Source organism: Homo sapiens, chromosome 6, assembly GCF_000001405.40.
Source record: "Homo sapiens chromosome 6, GRCh38.p14 Primary Assembly".
Classification (NCBI taxonomy): domain Eukaryota; kingdom Metazoa; phylum Chordata; class Mammalia; order Primates; family Hominidae; genus Homo; species Homo sapiens.
Window position 1 is genome coordinate 150886429 of NC_000006.12, and position 15383 is coordinate 150901811.

General features: G+C 43.2%; 1 protein-coding gene across 36 annotated transcripts in view; it reads left to right on the top strand.

Moving 5' to 3' along the window:
• The window catches only part of MTHFD1L (methylenetetrahydrofolate dehydrogenase (NADP+ dependent) 1 like), a 236186-nt gene that overhangs the window by 20727 nt on the left and 200076 nt on the right, over positions 1-15383 (top strand). For 19 of the 36 annotated variants that reach the window (NM_001242767.2, XM_017010702.3, XM_017010703.3 and 16 more), the window contains exon 7: positions 1414-1553. In NM_001242767.2, coding sequence (NP_001229696.1) covers positions 1414-1553 — 140 coding nt within the window. Of the gene's footprint in view, positions 1-1413; positions 1554-12431; positions 12573-15383 lie in introns of those variants that run through there. The other 17 variants (NR_146719.2, NR_146720.2, NM_015440.5 and 14 more) reach the window with 4 other exon arrangements.

Here is a 15383-nt window from a genome sequence, read left to right on the forward strand (position 1 = left end):
CTGCCTCAAAAAAAAAAAAAAAAAAAAAAAGAGAAGAAGAAGAAGCCGGTAGATGTAGTTTAGGGCACAGGAGCCTAGGTTGGGATTTATTGGTGAGCAGCTTGCTTTTCAGTAGTCAGGACTTAATTTCCATTGTTGTCCCCTTGACTTGGCGTTTTTATGTCAGTGAAATAGAAATGAATATTTTCTCTTTCTTCATTATTAAGTTTAATGAGTAAATTACTACCAAGTATTTATATATTTAAGGGCTTTCTGAGAACATAAAGATTCAACTAATTGGGCCGGCACAGTAGCTCACACCTGTAATCCCAGCACTTTGTGGAGCCAAGATGGGAGGATTGCTTGAGCCCAGGAGTTTGAGACCAGCTTGGGGAACATAGGGAGACTCCATCTCTACCAAAAAAAATTTTTTTTTTAATTAGCCAGGTGTGGTGACTTGTGCCTGTAGTCCCGGCTACTTGGGAGGCTGAGGTAGGAGAATGGCTGGAGCCTGGGAGGTCAAGGCTTCAGTGAGCTGTGATCACACCGCAGCATTCCATCCTGGGCAACAAGCAAGATCCTATCTGAAAAAAAAAAAAAAAGAAAAGAAAAAATTCAACGAACTAAATCTTTTTCTCTACTCCAGTTTGAATAGAAATGAAGCAAATGCCCCTCCCTACCCCTGAACATCCAACAATCAAAGAAAAATTTCAAAAATATATGGCAAAGTTTTATTAAAAGGTTAACATTCAGGATATATATGCTTTTTGGACAGTAATATTAAGCTCAAATCTATGAAATAATCCATATATACAGTGCTTTTTCATTACGTGGATTATCAAGATGAAGATTCTGAGCCACTTCATTAGAAAGTACTCAAAGAAAAGAGTAAATTAGGCTGGTGAGTTATAGTTACATATTGTGGAAAGAAATTCAGCAACAGGAATTGGAACCAAAAGGGTTTGAATAGAGAATTTTTGTTGATTACAACACCCCACTCCTAGTTCCTAGTCATTGTAGGTTGGTGCTGAGAAAGTTCAAGTTTTAAAAGGGTTTTTTGTTGTTGTTGAGACATTCTTGCTCTGTTGCCCAGGCTGGAGTGCAGTGGCGTGATCTTGGCTCACTGCAACCTCTGCCTCCCAGGTTCAAGTGATTTTCCTGCCTCAGCCTTCTAAGTAGCTGGGATTATAGGCATGTGCCATGACGCCTGGCTAATTTTCTATATTTTTAGTGGAGGCGGGGTTTTACCATGTTGGCCAGGCTGATCTTGAACTCGTGACCTGAAGTGATCCGCCTGCCTCAGCCTCCCAAAGTGCTGGAATTATAGGCATGAGCCACCACACCCAGCCTAAAAGGGTCTTTTTTTCTTAAGATAAAGTTCTTAAAGGAAGGATCTGAAGTTTTGAGTATAATATTGAATTTTCATTTGGTTAGTAGGTGTCAACCTAGATGGAAAGAAGATTTTGGTAGTGGGGGCCCATGGGTCTTTGGAAGCTGCTCTACAATGCCTGTTCCAGAGAAAAGGGTCCATGACAATGAGCATCCAGTGGAAAACACGCCAGCTTCAAAGCAAGGTAAATTTCATGTTAGAAACATACATCTTGAAGGCTTCTGTTAGAACAGAAGAAAGTCTAGAAATGTATAAGCTAAGTGCTTAATTCAAGAAATTAGAGGAAGAAAATTGAATAGACCCATATCCATTAAAGACATTGAATGAGTCTACTCACCAGACAAACAAACAAGAAAAGGCAACAGGTGGTTTTACAAATGAGCTCTATCAAACAAAGAACAGATCATTCTAATACAATCCTTTTCTCCAGCAAATGGAAAAAGAAGGAACGTGGCCTAACAGACTTTATGAGTGCCAAAACCAAAGAAGGGTAACATGCTAAAGGAAAATTAACAGGCCAGTTTCAGCTATGAATATAAATGAAATAATCGTGAGCGAAATCTGAGAACACCAAATACAGCAGGAAGTAGGGTTTATTTTAGGATTTCCAGGTGATTGAACATGAGAAAGTCTGTCACTGTAATTCACCACATTGTGATTAAAAACTAAATTCTCACCATAGTAAGTACAGAACAGTCATTTGGTAAATCTAATATGCATTATGACCTTTTGAAAGTAATTATAATTTTGATGAAAATTATTAAGAAGACCCATATAAAAGCAGAGGTATCATCTTCATGGAGAAGATGCAATATCTTAAAGATACTAATTGTCTGCAAATTTTGTAGAATTTGACAGTCTGATTCTGAAATCCAAATGGAAGCATAAAGGACAAAGAGAGTCAAGACAATTTTGTGGAAAAACTAGGTGGGAGACATTCCCAGCCACACAGTGTGAATTATTATGCACTTACAGTAATTAGGATAATATGGTAGACAAACAGACGATCGGAACAGAAGAAAGTGGAAATTTATGCATATATGGAAGCTTGAGAGCAGGTACCACAGATCAGTGGGGAAAAGATTAACTATTAAAGGCCGGGCGTGGTGGCTCATGCCTGTAATCCCAGCACTCTGGGAGGCTGAGGCGGGCAAATCACTTGAGCTCAGGAGTTTCAGACCAGCCTGGCCAATATGGTGAAACACCGTCTCTACTAAAAATACAAAAAAATTAGCCGGGCGTGTCGGCGCAAGCCTGTAATCCCAGCTACTCGGGAAGCTGAGGCAGGAGAATCGCTTGAACCCGGGAGGCAGGGGTTGCAGTGAGCCGCGATCGTGCCACTGCACTCCAGCCTGCGCGACAGAGTGAGACTCCGTCTCAAAAAAAAAAGCTAAAACATTAACTATTAAAAATGGTGCTGACTTAACTAGTTATGTATATGAGTCTAGCATAGGATTACTAACCTGCCACTACATATAAAAATCACTTCTATATTAAAATACCTAAATGTGGAAAGCAAAACTGTAAAACTTATAGAAAAAAATATAGGCGTATGCATTTAAGAGGTTGGCGTTGGAAGGATAGCTTAAGAGACCCCAAAAGCACAGATTGCTAAAGAAAAGGTATATAAATCTGACTGCATCCAAATTTTTAAAAACCCCAAAGTTTTTCTTTCTGAAAAGAAGTTCTTAAAAAAGTGAAAAGACAGCTATAGTGTAGAAGATATTTACAACAAACATTTAGCCAATAATTAGTGTCTTATAAAAGATTCCTACAAATCAGTGAGACAAAGACAATCTGTTAGAAAAATGGACACATGACAGACCACTAACAGGTGAGGAACCCGAGGTTTAAAAGACACGTGAAAAGCTGTCTGGTTTCCTGCTGTTTTTGCTCACCAGTCATATTGGCAGTAGGTAAAAAGTGCCAGTTAGCCATATTGACAAATGTCTGGAGCTATGGGAATTCATATATTGCTGGCGGGAGTTTAAATTTGAAATAGGCATTTCGGAAAGCAGTTTAATGGAGTTTGAGCTACTCTTTGACCCAGGAATTTCACTCTAAATATATATGATATGGCCAGGCATGATAGCTCACCCCTGTAATTCCAGCACTTTGGGAGGCTGAGGCAGGCAGACCACCTGAGGTTGGGGTTTCAAGACCAGCCCGACCAACATGGAGAAACCCCATCTCTACTAAAAATATAAAATTAGCTGGATGTGGTGGCACATGCCTGTAATCCCAGCTATTCAGGAGGCTGAGGCAGGAGAATTGCTTGAACCCGGGAGGCAGAGGTTGCGGTGAGCCGAGATCACACCATTGTACTCCAGCCTGGGCAACAAGAACGAAACTCCGTCTCAAAAAAATAATAATAAAAAGTGTATATATATGTGTGTGTGTATATATATATATAATAGACAAAACTTGCCCATATATATACAAAGGTGTGTTTACAAATGGTCAGAGCAGCATGTTTATAGTGCAAAAAGTTTTGTTTGTTTGTTTAAGACAGAGGGGCAGTGGTGGTTCTGTGGGTCTTGGCCCCTTTCTGCTGTCAGGGCTGAGTTGGCTCCATGAGTTGGTGAAAGCGGTATCTAGCCAGGTTCAAGGGAGACAGGGGCAGGATTTCGCCTTCACTGATGGGCAGGCCAGCGGTCCCCTGTGGAACGGTGACTATTGAATATTGAGAGGACAGTATCCCTCCCTGAGCATCTTCTGGAGCTTGATGACCACTAGGGAATGTATCTGAGTCACGCGCACCAAATATGTTACCGGTGGCAGCTATTCGAGTTATCCCGAGTTCGTGCTGGTGTATCCGTACAGTTCTGCAGCAACTTCAGCTCTTGCCTCCTCGGAAGAAAGAATTGGACTGAGGGCCATAAGGCAGAAGGAGAGACTGAGGCAAGTTTCAGAGCAGGACGGAAAGTCTAGCAAAAAGCTCTAGAACAGTAAGGAAAGGAAAGAAGGAAAGTATAACTTGGAAGAGAGCCAAGCAGGCGACTTGAAAAACCAAGTGCACTGCAACAAGTATTTAAACAGTGATCTAAATGCCCATCAGGGTGAAAGGATAAATCAGTATAGTTGCATGTAGAGTATGCATAGTCATAGTTCATAAAACAATGATATACAAGCAGTGAAAATTAATAAACTAGAGCTGTAGATAGCAACATGTTTTCTTGTTTTGTTTTTTGTTTGTTTGTTTTTTTGAGACGAAGTCTCCCTCTATCCCCCAGGCTGCAGTGCAGTGGCGCGAACTCGGCTCACTGCAACCTCTGTCTCCTGGGTTCAAGTGATTCTTCTGCCTCAGCCTCCTGAGTAGCTGGGACTACAGGTGTGCGCCACCATGCCCAGCTAATTTTTGTATTTTTAGTAGAGACAGGGTTTCACCATGTTGGCCAGGCTGGTCTGGAACTCCTGACCTCAGGTGATCCGCCCACCTCGACCTCCCAAAATGCTGAGATTACAGGCATGAGCTACCGCGCCCGGGCTGGAAGAATTTTTTAAAACACTGTTCAGTGAACAAAAACCCAAGTTGCAGAAGGATGTATTTCATACAACACCATTTATATGTGTCTGAAAGCAACACAACATATATATATATATGTAATCTAATACATACATACATATAATATGTATTACATATAATCCTTATATATATATAGAATCTTAATATATATATTTAGGTCAGGACATTTAGATCACTGTTTAATATATATATTAGGATTATATATAATATATATTATATTATTATGTATTAATTATATAATCCTTATATATATATTAGGATTCCATGCAAATGAAGTAAAAATATAAAGAAATAATGCAAACTACGAACCAAATCCGAAAAGCATTTATTGAGGCAAGGATGTGGATATAGATGGAAAGGAAACCTAGACACCTTCATGCCTTTTTTCTTAAACTGGGCAATAGGTGTTGTCTAGGTATGTTAGGTTATTGTTTTCCATTTCTATGTCTGAAATGATTGTTTTTCATTTTAAAAAATGATGGTACAGCTCACAGATCTAAAGCAAAGTGAAGTTTTAAATGAATGCATTAAGTACAATCAGTAACTACAGAATGTGATCTAAAAATACATGTTCCTCATGTTGCAGGGTGAGAATGGAAATGAGGAGTAAATTGTAATCGTGCCAGGGAAGCCAGGTGTCTCAGCAGATTTGGAATCTTTGCATGGCAGGTGGATCCAATTTATGTAATGCTTGGGTTAAGACAGCTCAGGAAGGCAGCCTTGCAATGAAACGTGAACCTGTGTGCGTTTTTAGCAGTCACCACATGGTGGCAGCCTATCCAAGAAAATTCAAGGGCAATAGTTTGCACTTGAGAGCCCAGAAATTTTGATTTGGAAGCTCAGTGGAAGAGGAAAATAAACCGTGCCCTGCACTGAACAGCTGTGGTGAAGAGAGAAAATACCTTCCTTGGCAATTGAATGTTTTCGCAGCTGTCACAGATACTTTTGCTAGTTGTATCTATATTTTTGAAAAACAAAGACATTTTTCAAAGTACTTTTTTATTACGGGAATAAATCACCTTGTCTCTGTACTTTGGGATGAATCTCATCTGAACTTTGAGAACGATTAAGTGGCTTCACTTTCTGGAGAATCTGGTCATTGGGTAACATTCTTGTTTTCATATGGACCAGAAGGTTCTCTTTCATAGTTGATGTTGCACACACGTTTTTTTCCCTAAGTCCTTGGTATTTATAGTGGCACCATTGCGAATGTTAGAGGCTATCAACTTTCATTCTTATTATTGCTTCATCTTTGTAGCCAAAAATATGGGAAGAAATGTTCATAGCCCCGCCCCATACTTGTCCCCCTCTACCTGGCCTACCTACCTACGTCAGGCTCCTGTCCCACCACAAATGACAGCCTGTGTCTTTCATGTTAGCAGCTAGTCTTTCACTAGCCACATACTTCCCCGTAACCCATATGCCTCCCTGTGTCTGCCTGACGTTTGAATTGTCACTATTCTGTTGTTGTATTTTTACAAGAAGAATGTATGGGGCAGAAAACCCTTGCCATTCATTTCCTGAGTAGGAATTCTAGCCTTCCTTGGAGTCGTGGTAATATGGAGACATGGTAATATGTGGATTGTACCACTCAATGGCTGTCTGGAGGCCACAGTGGTGCAAAAAGCCACCTAGGCATGGGTTAGTGTCCTGGGGCACCCAATCAGGACAGGACACCTGGCACACCCTTGGAAAAGCTTCACTGTGAAAAACACTGGAAGTAAAAATTTTAACAACAGATAGGGATTTTTTTCCCCTTGAGACAGAGGCTCACTCTGTTACCCAGGCTGGAGTGCAGTGGCGCGATCTCGGCTCACTAAAGCCTCTGCCTCATGGGTTCAAGAGATTCTCATGCCTCAGCCACCTGAGTAGCTGGGATTACAGGCGAGCACCACCATGCCTGGCTAATTTTTATATTTTTAGTAGAGATGGAGTTTCGCCATGTTGGCCAGGCTGGTCTCGAACTCCTGACCTCAAGTGATCCACCCACATGGCCCTCTCAAAGTGCTGGAATTAGAGGCCTGAGTCACTGTGCCTGGCCCACATGGGGATTTTTGTTGCCCAGCTTAATCAACCAAGAATAAAAGTGCATTTTAAGATTATAATCTATTTAACTTCTCCTTATTGGCAATGGTAAAAGAGTTAAGGAAAAAAGAGAATAAGCTTAGGATTATGGCTACTAAGTAGAAGGACGTTATCTTTGACGGGCATTTCTGTTGTGCTTATTTGTACCTGACATGGAACAAGACCCCCCCATCCCCTCAACACATACCTGCTGTGGGACATCTGGCTAGAGATTTCCAAAGCTGAGGGTGAAAGGTTTGGGCATCGGTGTGACTGTGTAACACTAGAGTTCTATCTACCATCTCTTAAACTACAGGTAGTCTTACCGGTGTGGGCTGACCTTCCGGTTATCAGGCAGCCTGCTGCAACCACTAGAAACTGCCTTTGAAGGTTTCCAGTCCGGCACAACATTTGTGTTCTCATTAAACAGTAGAGCATAGGCTTTGGGGACACACAGCTCTGGGCTCAAGCCTTAGCTGTTGCTGCTCTGAGCCTGTTCCCTCGCGTAGAAAGGCAATCATAATACTCCCTACTTTATGGGGCAGTTGTGGGAATGGAATTAAATGCTAATGTGGGCCGGGTGCAGTGGTTCACGCCTGTAATCCCAGCACTTTGGGAGGCTGAGGAGGGCAGATTGCTTGAGCCCAGGAGTTTGAGACCAGCCTGGCAACATGGCGAAACTCCATCTCTAAAAAAGTACAAAAATTAGCCAGGCGTGGTGGCTGTAGTCCCAGGTACTTTGGAGGCTGAGGTGGGATGATCACCTGAATCTGGGGAGGTCGAGGTTGCAGTGAGCTGAGATTGCACCACCGCACTGCAACCTGGAGTGCAGGCTGGAGGAAGAGAAATATATGGGTCAATTAGGCAAATCACTCAGATCGTAAGTAGATATACTAGTAAAATAGCGTGACTTAGGGTCCTTCACTGGAAGCCTGGTATTAATGCTTCCATTGTGTGGGTGGGGGAAGGAGAGAGTGTCTCCAGCTCTCTGTCTGTGAGGTCTCCCAGCCGAATATTGGCCAAGGGAGTGAAACCAGAAGCAAGACTACCATGAGACAACGTTCCAGAGAAAGGAGGGACTAACCAGAGCAGGTGCCCAGCTTTGGCCAGTCAGGCTCATCTTCCAGTCCTCAGTAGATTATTATCAACTTTAAGTGATGTCACAGACTCCCTTCCTCCAAAGCTGTGGACCTCTTCCTTCCCATGCCTCTTGTTACTTGGAAGTCACTCTACTTCCAAACATGTCGGCTGGAGATCCCTGATGGGCCAGTTACTACTTTCAGGCTCTGTAGGTTTAAAGAATGGTTATATCCAGTTAGTTACAAATAGAAATCGATCCTTTCTCTGTCCGTCTGTCTAAACGGAAGGATATTCTGTGGACGCTGATTAGGTATAAAATCTCCACGGAGCCTGAGCATGAAGAATTGACCTTCTTAGGGTTCCACAGAAACCAGAATAGACTTCTGTGTTTGGTAGCTTTGTAACTTACGCCCGTTGAGGTGTACGGTTGAAAATTGAGAATAAATTTCCTGTTCTGTTTCTGAGCATCTTTTCCAGGCTTGGAGATGCGTTGAGCATTTCCACGGAGACCCTAGAGGTGGGGAGGGGAAGAACGCCTGGGCATTTGTCCAAATTAGCCATATGCTGTGGAGTGTCACATGTCAGGAAGCCAAGGCACTGGAGCTAGTGTTTTTGGGCAGGGCTAGGGAACCCCCCGCCTTTCCTCCACCCAAACGCAGGCCCCCACACCCAGCGTCCTGGGCCCTGCAGGGGAATGACACTGTTGGTTTCACTCTCAGGAATGAGCCTAGATTTGGAGGTAACCTCTTCCTGACCCCGATGATTTCACTCTGATGCCAAAACCAGTCTGAAGTGGGTGTGGTTTTGCATTTGGTGTTTACAAGGTGGAGTGGTGCCCTCTGCACGGAAGGGAGAGGTGGGCAGGTACGGCAGGGCCCTGCTCCCTCGGGAGTCTCCTCTGAACCTGTGGTTAGGGCACAGCTGGACAATGCTGAAATGGTCTCCAGCTGGGAGATGAGGTAAACCTCAGCTGCATGCCGAAGAAATAACCTAGAAATCAGAGAACCGTTTTATTTTGTTTTTCTCAGAGGATCTCATTTCTCCCTCTCCTCCTGAGCACAGAGACCCTCAAAACTGGTATTCACAGAAGGAAAAAATATAGGTCTTTCACCTTTGAAGGATCAAAGTGTCTAGGGTTTTTTGTGGTTTTTTTTTTTTTTTTTTGAACAAAGCTGAACTATTACAAAGTCCTTTTCAGTTTAAATTTAGTGCATGGCATGGCTCATGAAAGACTTTTAAAAGTGAATTGGAAAATTCTAAATGTACTTGTATTATACATGTGAAAGGATGACTTCTTAAAAAAAGAATAATGTCTGTCCCAAACGGGAGAAGGAAGGAACTCTAGCTTTTAAACTGCACTACATTAGTGAGTTACATGACAATTCTCCTTTTAACAGGATGGAATGCACTTAAAGCAGTAATGTGCTATGGTGACAGTAATGACAGACAATGTTAATTGACAGAATGGCTACTCTGAACCAGGCACTGTCTTGTACTCCTGTTATCTCAGTGGTCTTCACACTTATTCTGTTAGGCAGGACTGTCATCCTCCCCACATTACAGATGAGGAAACTGACTGAGGCTTAGAGAGGAGACTTTGCAAAGATCATGTGATTAAAAAATGGTAGAGGTGGCAAAACAGCCTGTGTTTTTAACACTGTCCCATGTCAGCTCTTATTCCAGATCATCACATAAAGTCTAATCTCTAATCTTGAAAACCGAAAAGCACCTGCCACCTCAGATAAGAGAGACCAAGACCCTAGACATTCGACTTGTGTTGAATTCACTCTTATTTTGTTTTGATGTTTGTAATCCCAGAGCCATACTTGTTAATGAGCTGAAGTAGAGTGAATGCTGTCCCCTCCCTGAGGCCTGGGGCTCATCATCAGCTCTCCAGGCTCCCCTTTCAGAGGGGATGGTGAGCACCTTCGGAGAGGGCAGGGATGGACACACAAGACAGCCTCAGTTATGTGAGTTCATCCCCTCCCCTGCCTGCTGTGGGTGAGATGGAGAAAAAAGCACTGGACCCTCCTGGGCATCACAGCCTTGTACTTAGCGAGTGGCTGAGGTCATCAGTAGCCCAGGTCATCAGTAGTGTGGAATTAAGTGCACTGAATAGTGTTGGCCCCTGAGCTTTGTTTGACAGATTTAGGGGGTCAGCTCACCACTTTCCCCTCTTGCTTCTGTCTGATCATTGCTCTGTTTGTTAATACCAAGGAAGAAAGTGAATAGAACTTTTTAGAGAGCCAAAAAAACTTTATTAGACTTTATGCCATTCATTATACTTAGCAGTGTTGAGGGAAGGATTTGTGAGACGATATATTCAAACTAATGGGCATGAGACCAAGAAGGGGCTGTGTGGCGGGCGCGGTGGCTCACACCTGTAACCCCAGCACTTTGGGAGGCCGAGGCAGGTGGATCATGAGGTCAGGAATCGAGACCATCCTGGCTAACACGGTGAAACCCTGTCTCTACTAAAAAAAAAAATACAAAAACAAAATTAGCAGGGTGTGGTGGCAGGCACCTGAAGTCTCTGCTACTCGGGAGGCTGAGGCAGAAGAATAGCATGAACCCGGGAGGTGGAGCTTGCAGTGAGCCGAGATCGCGCCACTGCACTCCAGCCTGGGCAATAGAGTGAGACTCCATCTAAAAAAAAGCCGGTTGGGGTGGGGGCATGTAATTAACAGACTGATTGGTCTTAGGTGGCTCAGAATTTAAGCTGAGAAATTAAGATTGAGAAGAAATGATGTATTGTCGTTATATCAAATATGTGAGTAAAAACATAATTAAAACACCATCTATCTCCAGTTTTCCCAACATTACCTCCCTTTTATGATGCCCTTCCTGTACCTTATTAGGCAAAATATTCTAATTTCAGTCTCATTGGATTATGTTCTAAATGTTTGAAGGTTGGTCTGAACATGGAATGTATTTTCTCATAGATATAATAGTATAAATGGTGTTAGGGTCATGGGATTGCGAAGCCAGTTCCACTGCAGTAGAATCATATTGACTTGCTTTCCGATTTTTCTGTGGGAAACTTCATCTGGAGCTTTAATGCACTTCTTAGCTGTGGGGTAAGTTTCAGCCTCCATGACGCTTGTGTTACTTTGTAGTCACCTGTGGCCAACCACAAATAAATCTTTGTGGTCATCAGGGGCCAGTGAAGTGTATACTGCACAAAAGAGAGCCTACCCCAATTCTGGAAGAAGGGCTGCAGGCCTGTGTCCCACAAAGAACAGGCAGGAAGCATCACCTTCAGCCCACTGGCAGCAGGTCATCTCCCATTTGCTTTTCTGCACTATCAGCAGAGTCTGGCTTCCTTTTCCACCCCCTCTCCAATGTGAATGCTTTTTAAGGTCGTGGAATTAGAATTTAAAAAAAAAATTTTTTTGAGACAGAGTTTTGCTCTTCTCGCCCAGGCTGGAGTGCAATGGTGCAATCTCAGCTCACCGCAGTCTCCGCCTCCCAGGTTCAAATGATTCTCCTGCCTCAGCCTCCTGAGTAGCTGGGATTACAAGCATGCGCCACCACGCCCAGCTAATTTTGTATTTTTAGTAGGGACAGAGTTTCTCCATGTTGGTCAGGCTGGTCTCGAACTCCTGACCTCAGGTGATCCACCCACCTCGGCCTCCCAAAGTGCAGGGATTACAGGCATGAGCCACCGCGCCTGGCCAGTATTAGAATCTTTTAATGGGAACGTCTTAAACATAACCTATAACAATGAAGCACCTTATAAGTGTGTGGAGATTTCCTTTTCATGGCTTTTCATATATGCCTCGCACTCACCCAGCAACCCTGCAAACTGGATGTTATACTCACCAGAGAGCCTTGACCCTGATTGTCACTGGCAAGGAGCAGTGTCTGGACTTGAACGCAGGTCGCAGGACTCCACTCATGGTGCTCTCCCCACTGCACCTCAATTCCTCACTTTTCAAAGGAGGCAGCGGAAGCCTGGAGAGTTTCTCAAAGGAAACGGAATGCAGAAATCTGTCTGTGTGCAATGTGAGGCTCAGAACTGAAAACCATAAATGTCAGGAAATGCAAAGCAGAATTTTCCCCTGCAACGGCAGTTTGCATGAATATGAAGACGCTGTATGGATGAAAGTTTGTGGCTGCAGCATGAGCATAAATCCTCGGGGCTGCTGTTCGTCTAGGAGCCTGACTTGCCTGGTGTTGCCCTGAGAACTGCAACTTGAGCATTTCCTTAATTTTGTACTAAAGGAACCAAAATGAGGTATTTTGGTTCTAAGTCTTTGTCATGTGAAGGAAGCTTCCTGTTACCACCCCCCATCTACATACACATTCTCTTTCTTAGCCCCACGTTTGAATTTTATGTTTTTCCTAAAGTATAGGGAAGATTATTATTATTATTATTATTTTCTTTTTCAGACGGAGTCTCGTTCTGTCACCAGGCTGGAGTGCAGGCGCGTGATCTAGGCTCACTGCAAGCTCTGCCTCCCAGGTTGAAGTGATTCTCCTGTGAAAGGGAATTATTTTTGATGAGTCATTAAAGTATATCCATTCCCAGAATGGTGCTGCATTTTTCCTTTTATCATCTGTCATGACTTTTTTAAGTGTGAAGCTTACTTCCAGAGGAATTGTCTTTTCTAGCATTTTGGACACAACTAAATATCTTTGATATTTTCTTCTCATATGTTGAGCAGTAAATTAAGTTGAATGGTGAAGTCAGAGGTGAACTTAGGAACATTTAGAAAAAGGAAGGTCATTTATTATTTTTCAGGGGAAAAGTTTGGTAGAAAAATGCTGTAATCCTAATTCCCAGATGTCCATTTGGCTTGTAGTCATTTTGATTTATGAAATAATCATAAGAAATGTCTTCAAATTTTAAAAGCCAATAATTTGTTCTACTAATCACAGATGAGAGTAGAAATAAAAGAAACACACCCAATTCCTGAAAGGAAAAAAATTCTCCCAGGATGAGATCACTGGGTGGACGTGAAGTGGGTAAAATACCTTTTGCTGCAATTGTCATCCCCTTATCTTGCCAAAGTACGACAACATCTGAATGAAGATGGTTTGATGTTCTTAGTTTAGAGTAGTTATACTATTATTTTAACATTCCTATTTAATGATATGTTTTAATACTGCAGGGGAAAGGTAGATACAGATTCATAGCTACAAAGCAATACTCTTATGATCAATGTTCATTTAATTTCAAATACAAAGTTAGACATTCAGAGTTAAAAAAAATTAATGCATAGGCTGGGTGCAGTGGCTCACGCCTGTAATCCCAGCACTTTGGGAGGCCGAGGCAGGCGGATCATGAGGTCAGGAGTGTGAGACCAGCCTGACCAACATGGGGAAACTCCATCTCTACTAAAAATACAAAAATTAGCTGGGTGTGGTGGCATGCGCCTGTAATCCTAGCTACTCAGGAGGCTGAGACAGGAGAATCGTTGAACCCAGGAGGCAGAGGTTGCAGCGAGCTGAGATTGCACCACTGCACTCCAGCCTGGGCCACAGAGTGAGATTCCATCTCAAAAAAAAATAGATATATATATATTTTTTATATTATATTATATATTATATATTTATATTTTTATATATATAAATGAATAAACAAGGCATCTGCTTATGAAACAGTCTGCCTGAATGAAATCTCCATTTGCAGGCAACACAGTCTACAGTAATGGCAGGACTGTATTAGGCATGGTTCCTAATGCCCATTTCTGTAGCAAAGTCACCAGTAGTTCCTAATTGCCAAAAGTGAGTCACCGGTAGTTCCTAATTGCCAAAAGTGTATTTTTTGCTTTTATCTTGCTTGACCACAGCTGTCATATAAACCTGTTGGCCACACCCTTTTCCCTTAGCCTGAATGAAAATGCCCCTTCCTGCCCTTCGTAGCTCCTGAGCCACCAGGACATGGTGGTCTCCATCATCTGTTCGTTATCTCTAACCATTTAAGATTAGTGCTCCCCAAGGATGTCTGTTAACCTGCTTTCCTTCCCATTCTGCCAGTTTCCCCTGGGGAATCCACACTTCTGGTTTTAACCATCACCTAAATGCTGTGTGTCCCGACCCGCATCCGCATGCTCCCAGGCCATTCTCAGTTCCAGACCCGGGCCCCCAGCTTCCTGCAGACGCCTCCTCCAGGAGATCTCAGTATCTTGCTTTTCCTCCTACCCCTTCTAAGGCATTCTCAATCCAGCTTCCAGAGGAATCTTCCTAAAACACATCTGACTGTGTGAGCCACATACTGTAGCCCAACCTGACAGCTTCTTTTCTATATTAAGAAAAAGTGCGGCCGGGCGCGGTGGCTCACGCCTGTAATCCCAGCTCTTTGGGAGGCTGAGGCGGGCAGATCACGAGGTCAGGAGATCGAGACCATCCTGGATAACATGGTGAAACCCTGTCTCTACTGAAAATACAAAAAATTAGCCGGGCATGGTGGCAGGTGCCTGTAGTCCCAGCTACTCGGGAGGCTGAGGCAGGAGAATGGCATGAACCCAGGAGGCGGAGCTTGCAGTGAGCCGGGATCGCGCCACTGCACTCCAGCCTGGACGACAGAGTGAGACTCGTCTCAAAAAAAAAAAAGAAAAGAAAAGAAAAAGTGCACACATTTTGACATCTGAGAAAAGTGATGTTTTTCTTAGAAAAGTGACATCTAACTCTTTATAGAAACTTTGCCACAAGGTAGTCTAGGAGTCCCCTTACTACCTAAGATTTTCATGGACATGCCCTGTCTGATCATAAAGCATGTGGCACAGTGGCTCACGCCTGTAATCCCAACACTTTGGAAGGCCCAGGCGGGCAGATCACTTGAGCCCAGGAATTCAAGACCAGCCTGGGCAACATGGTGAAACCCTGTCTCTACAAAAAATATTTAAAAAACAAAATGAACTGAGCATGGTGAAGCACATCTATAGTCCCAGCTACTTAGAGGCTGAGGTAGGAGGATCGCTTAAGCCCAGAAGTCAGGGCTGCAGTGAGCTGAGACTGCAGTGCCACTGCATTCCAGCCTAGAGGACAGAGTGAGACCCCGTCTCCAAAAATAAATAAATTAATTAAATAAAGCCTTGTGAAGAATCTGCCGTGGAGCATAATGTAACCCATAAAGCCACTTAACTGGGCGCACATAAACTACATAAACTACAGTGTGTCCCAGTTCATTGAGAGTGAAAATCAAGCAAGGGACCACCTCAGTGTGGTAGAGCCCCCTCCCTGCCCTCCAGACCCTGCTCTGTTCTCTGTGTCTGACCATTGACTGGCCATCACTCAGGCACTAGTTGAGAATGCCAATGTCTTTAGTTATTGTAATTTCAGAAGCACATCCTTGCTGGACAAAGAACCTACCTGTTAATTTTTTAAAGTAATGTTCAT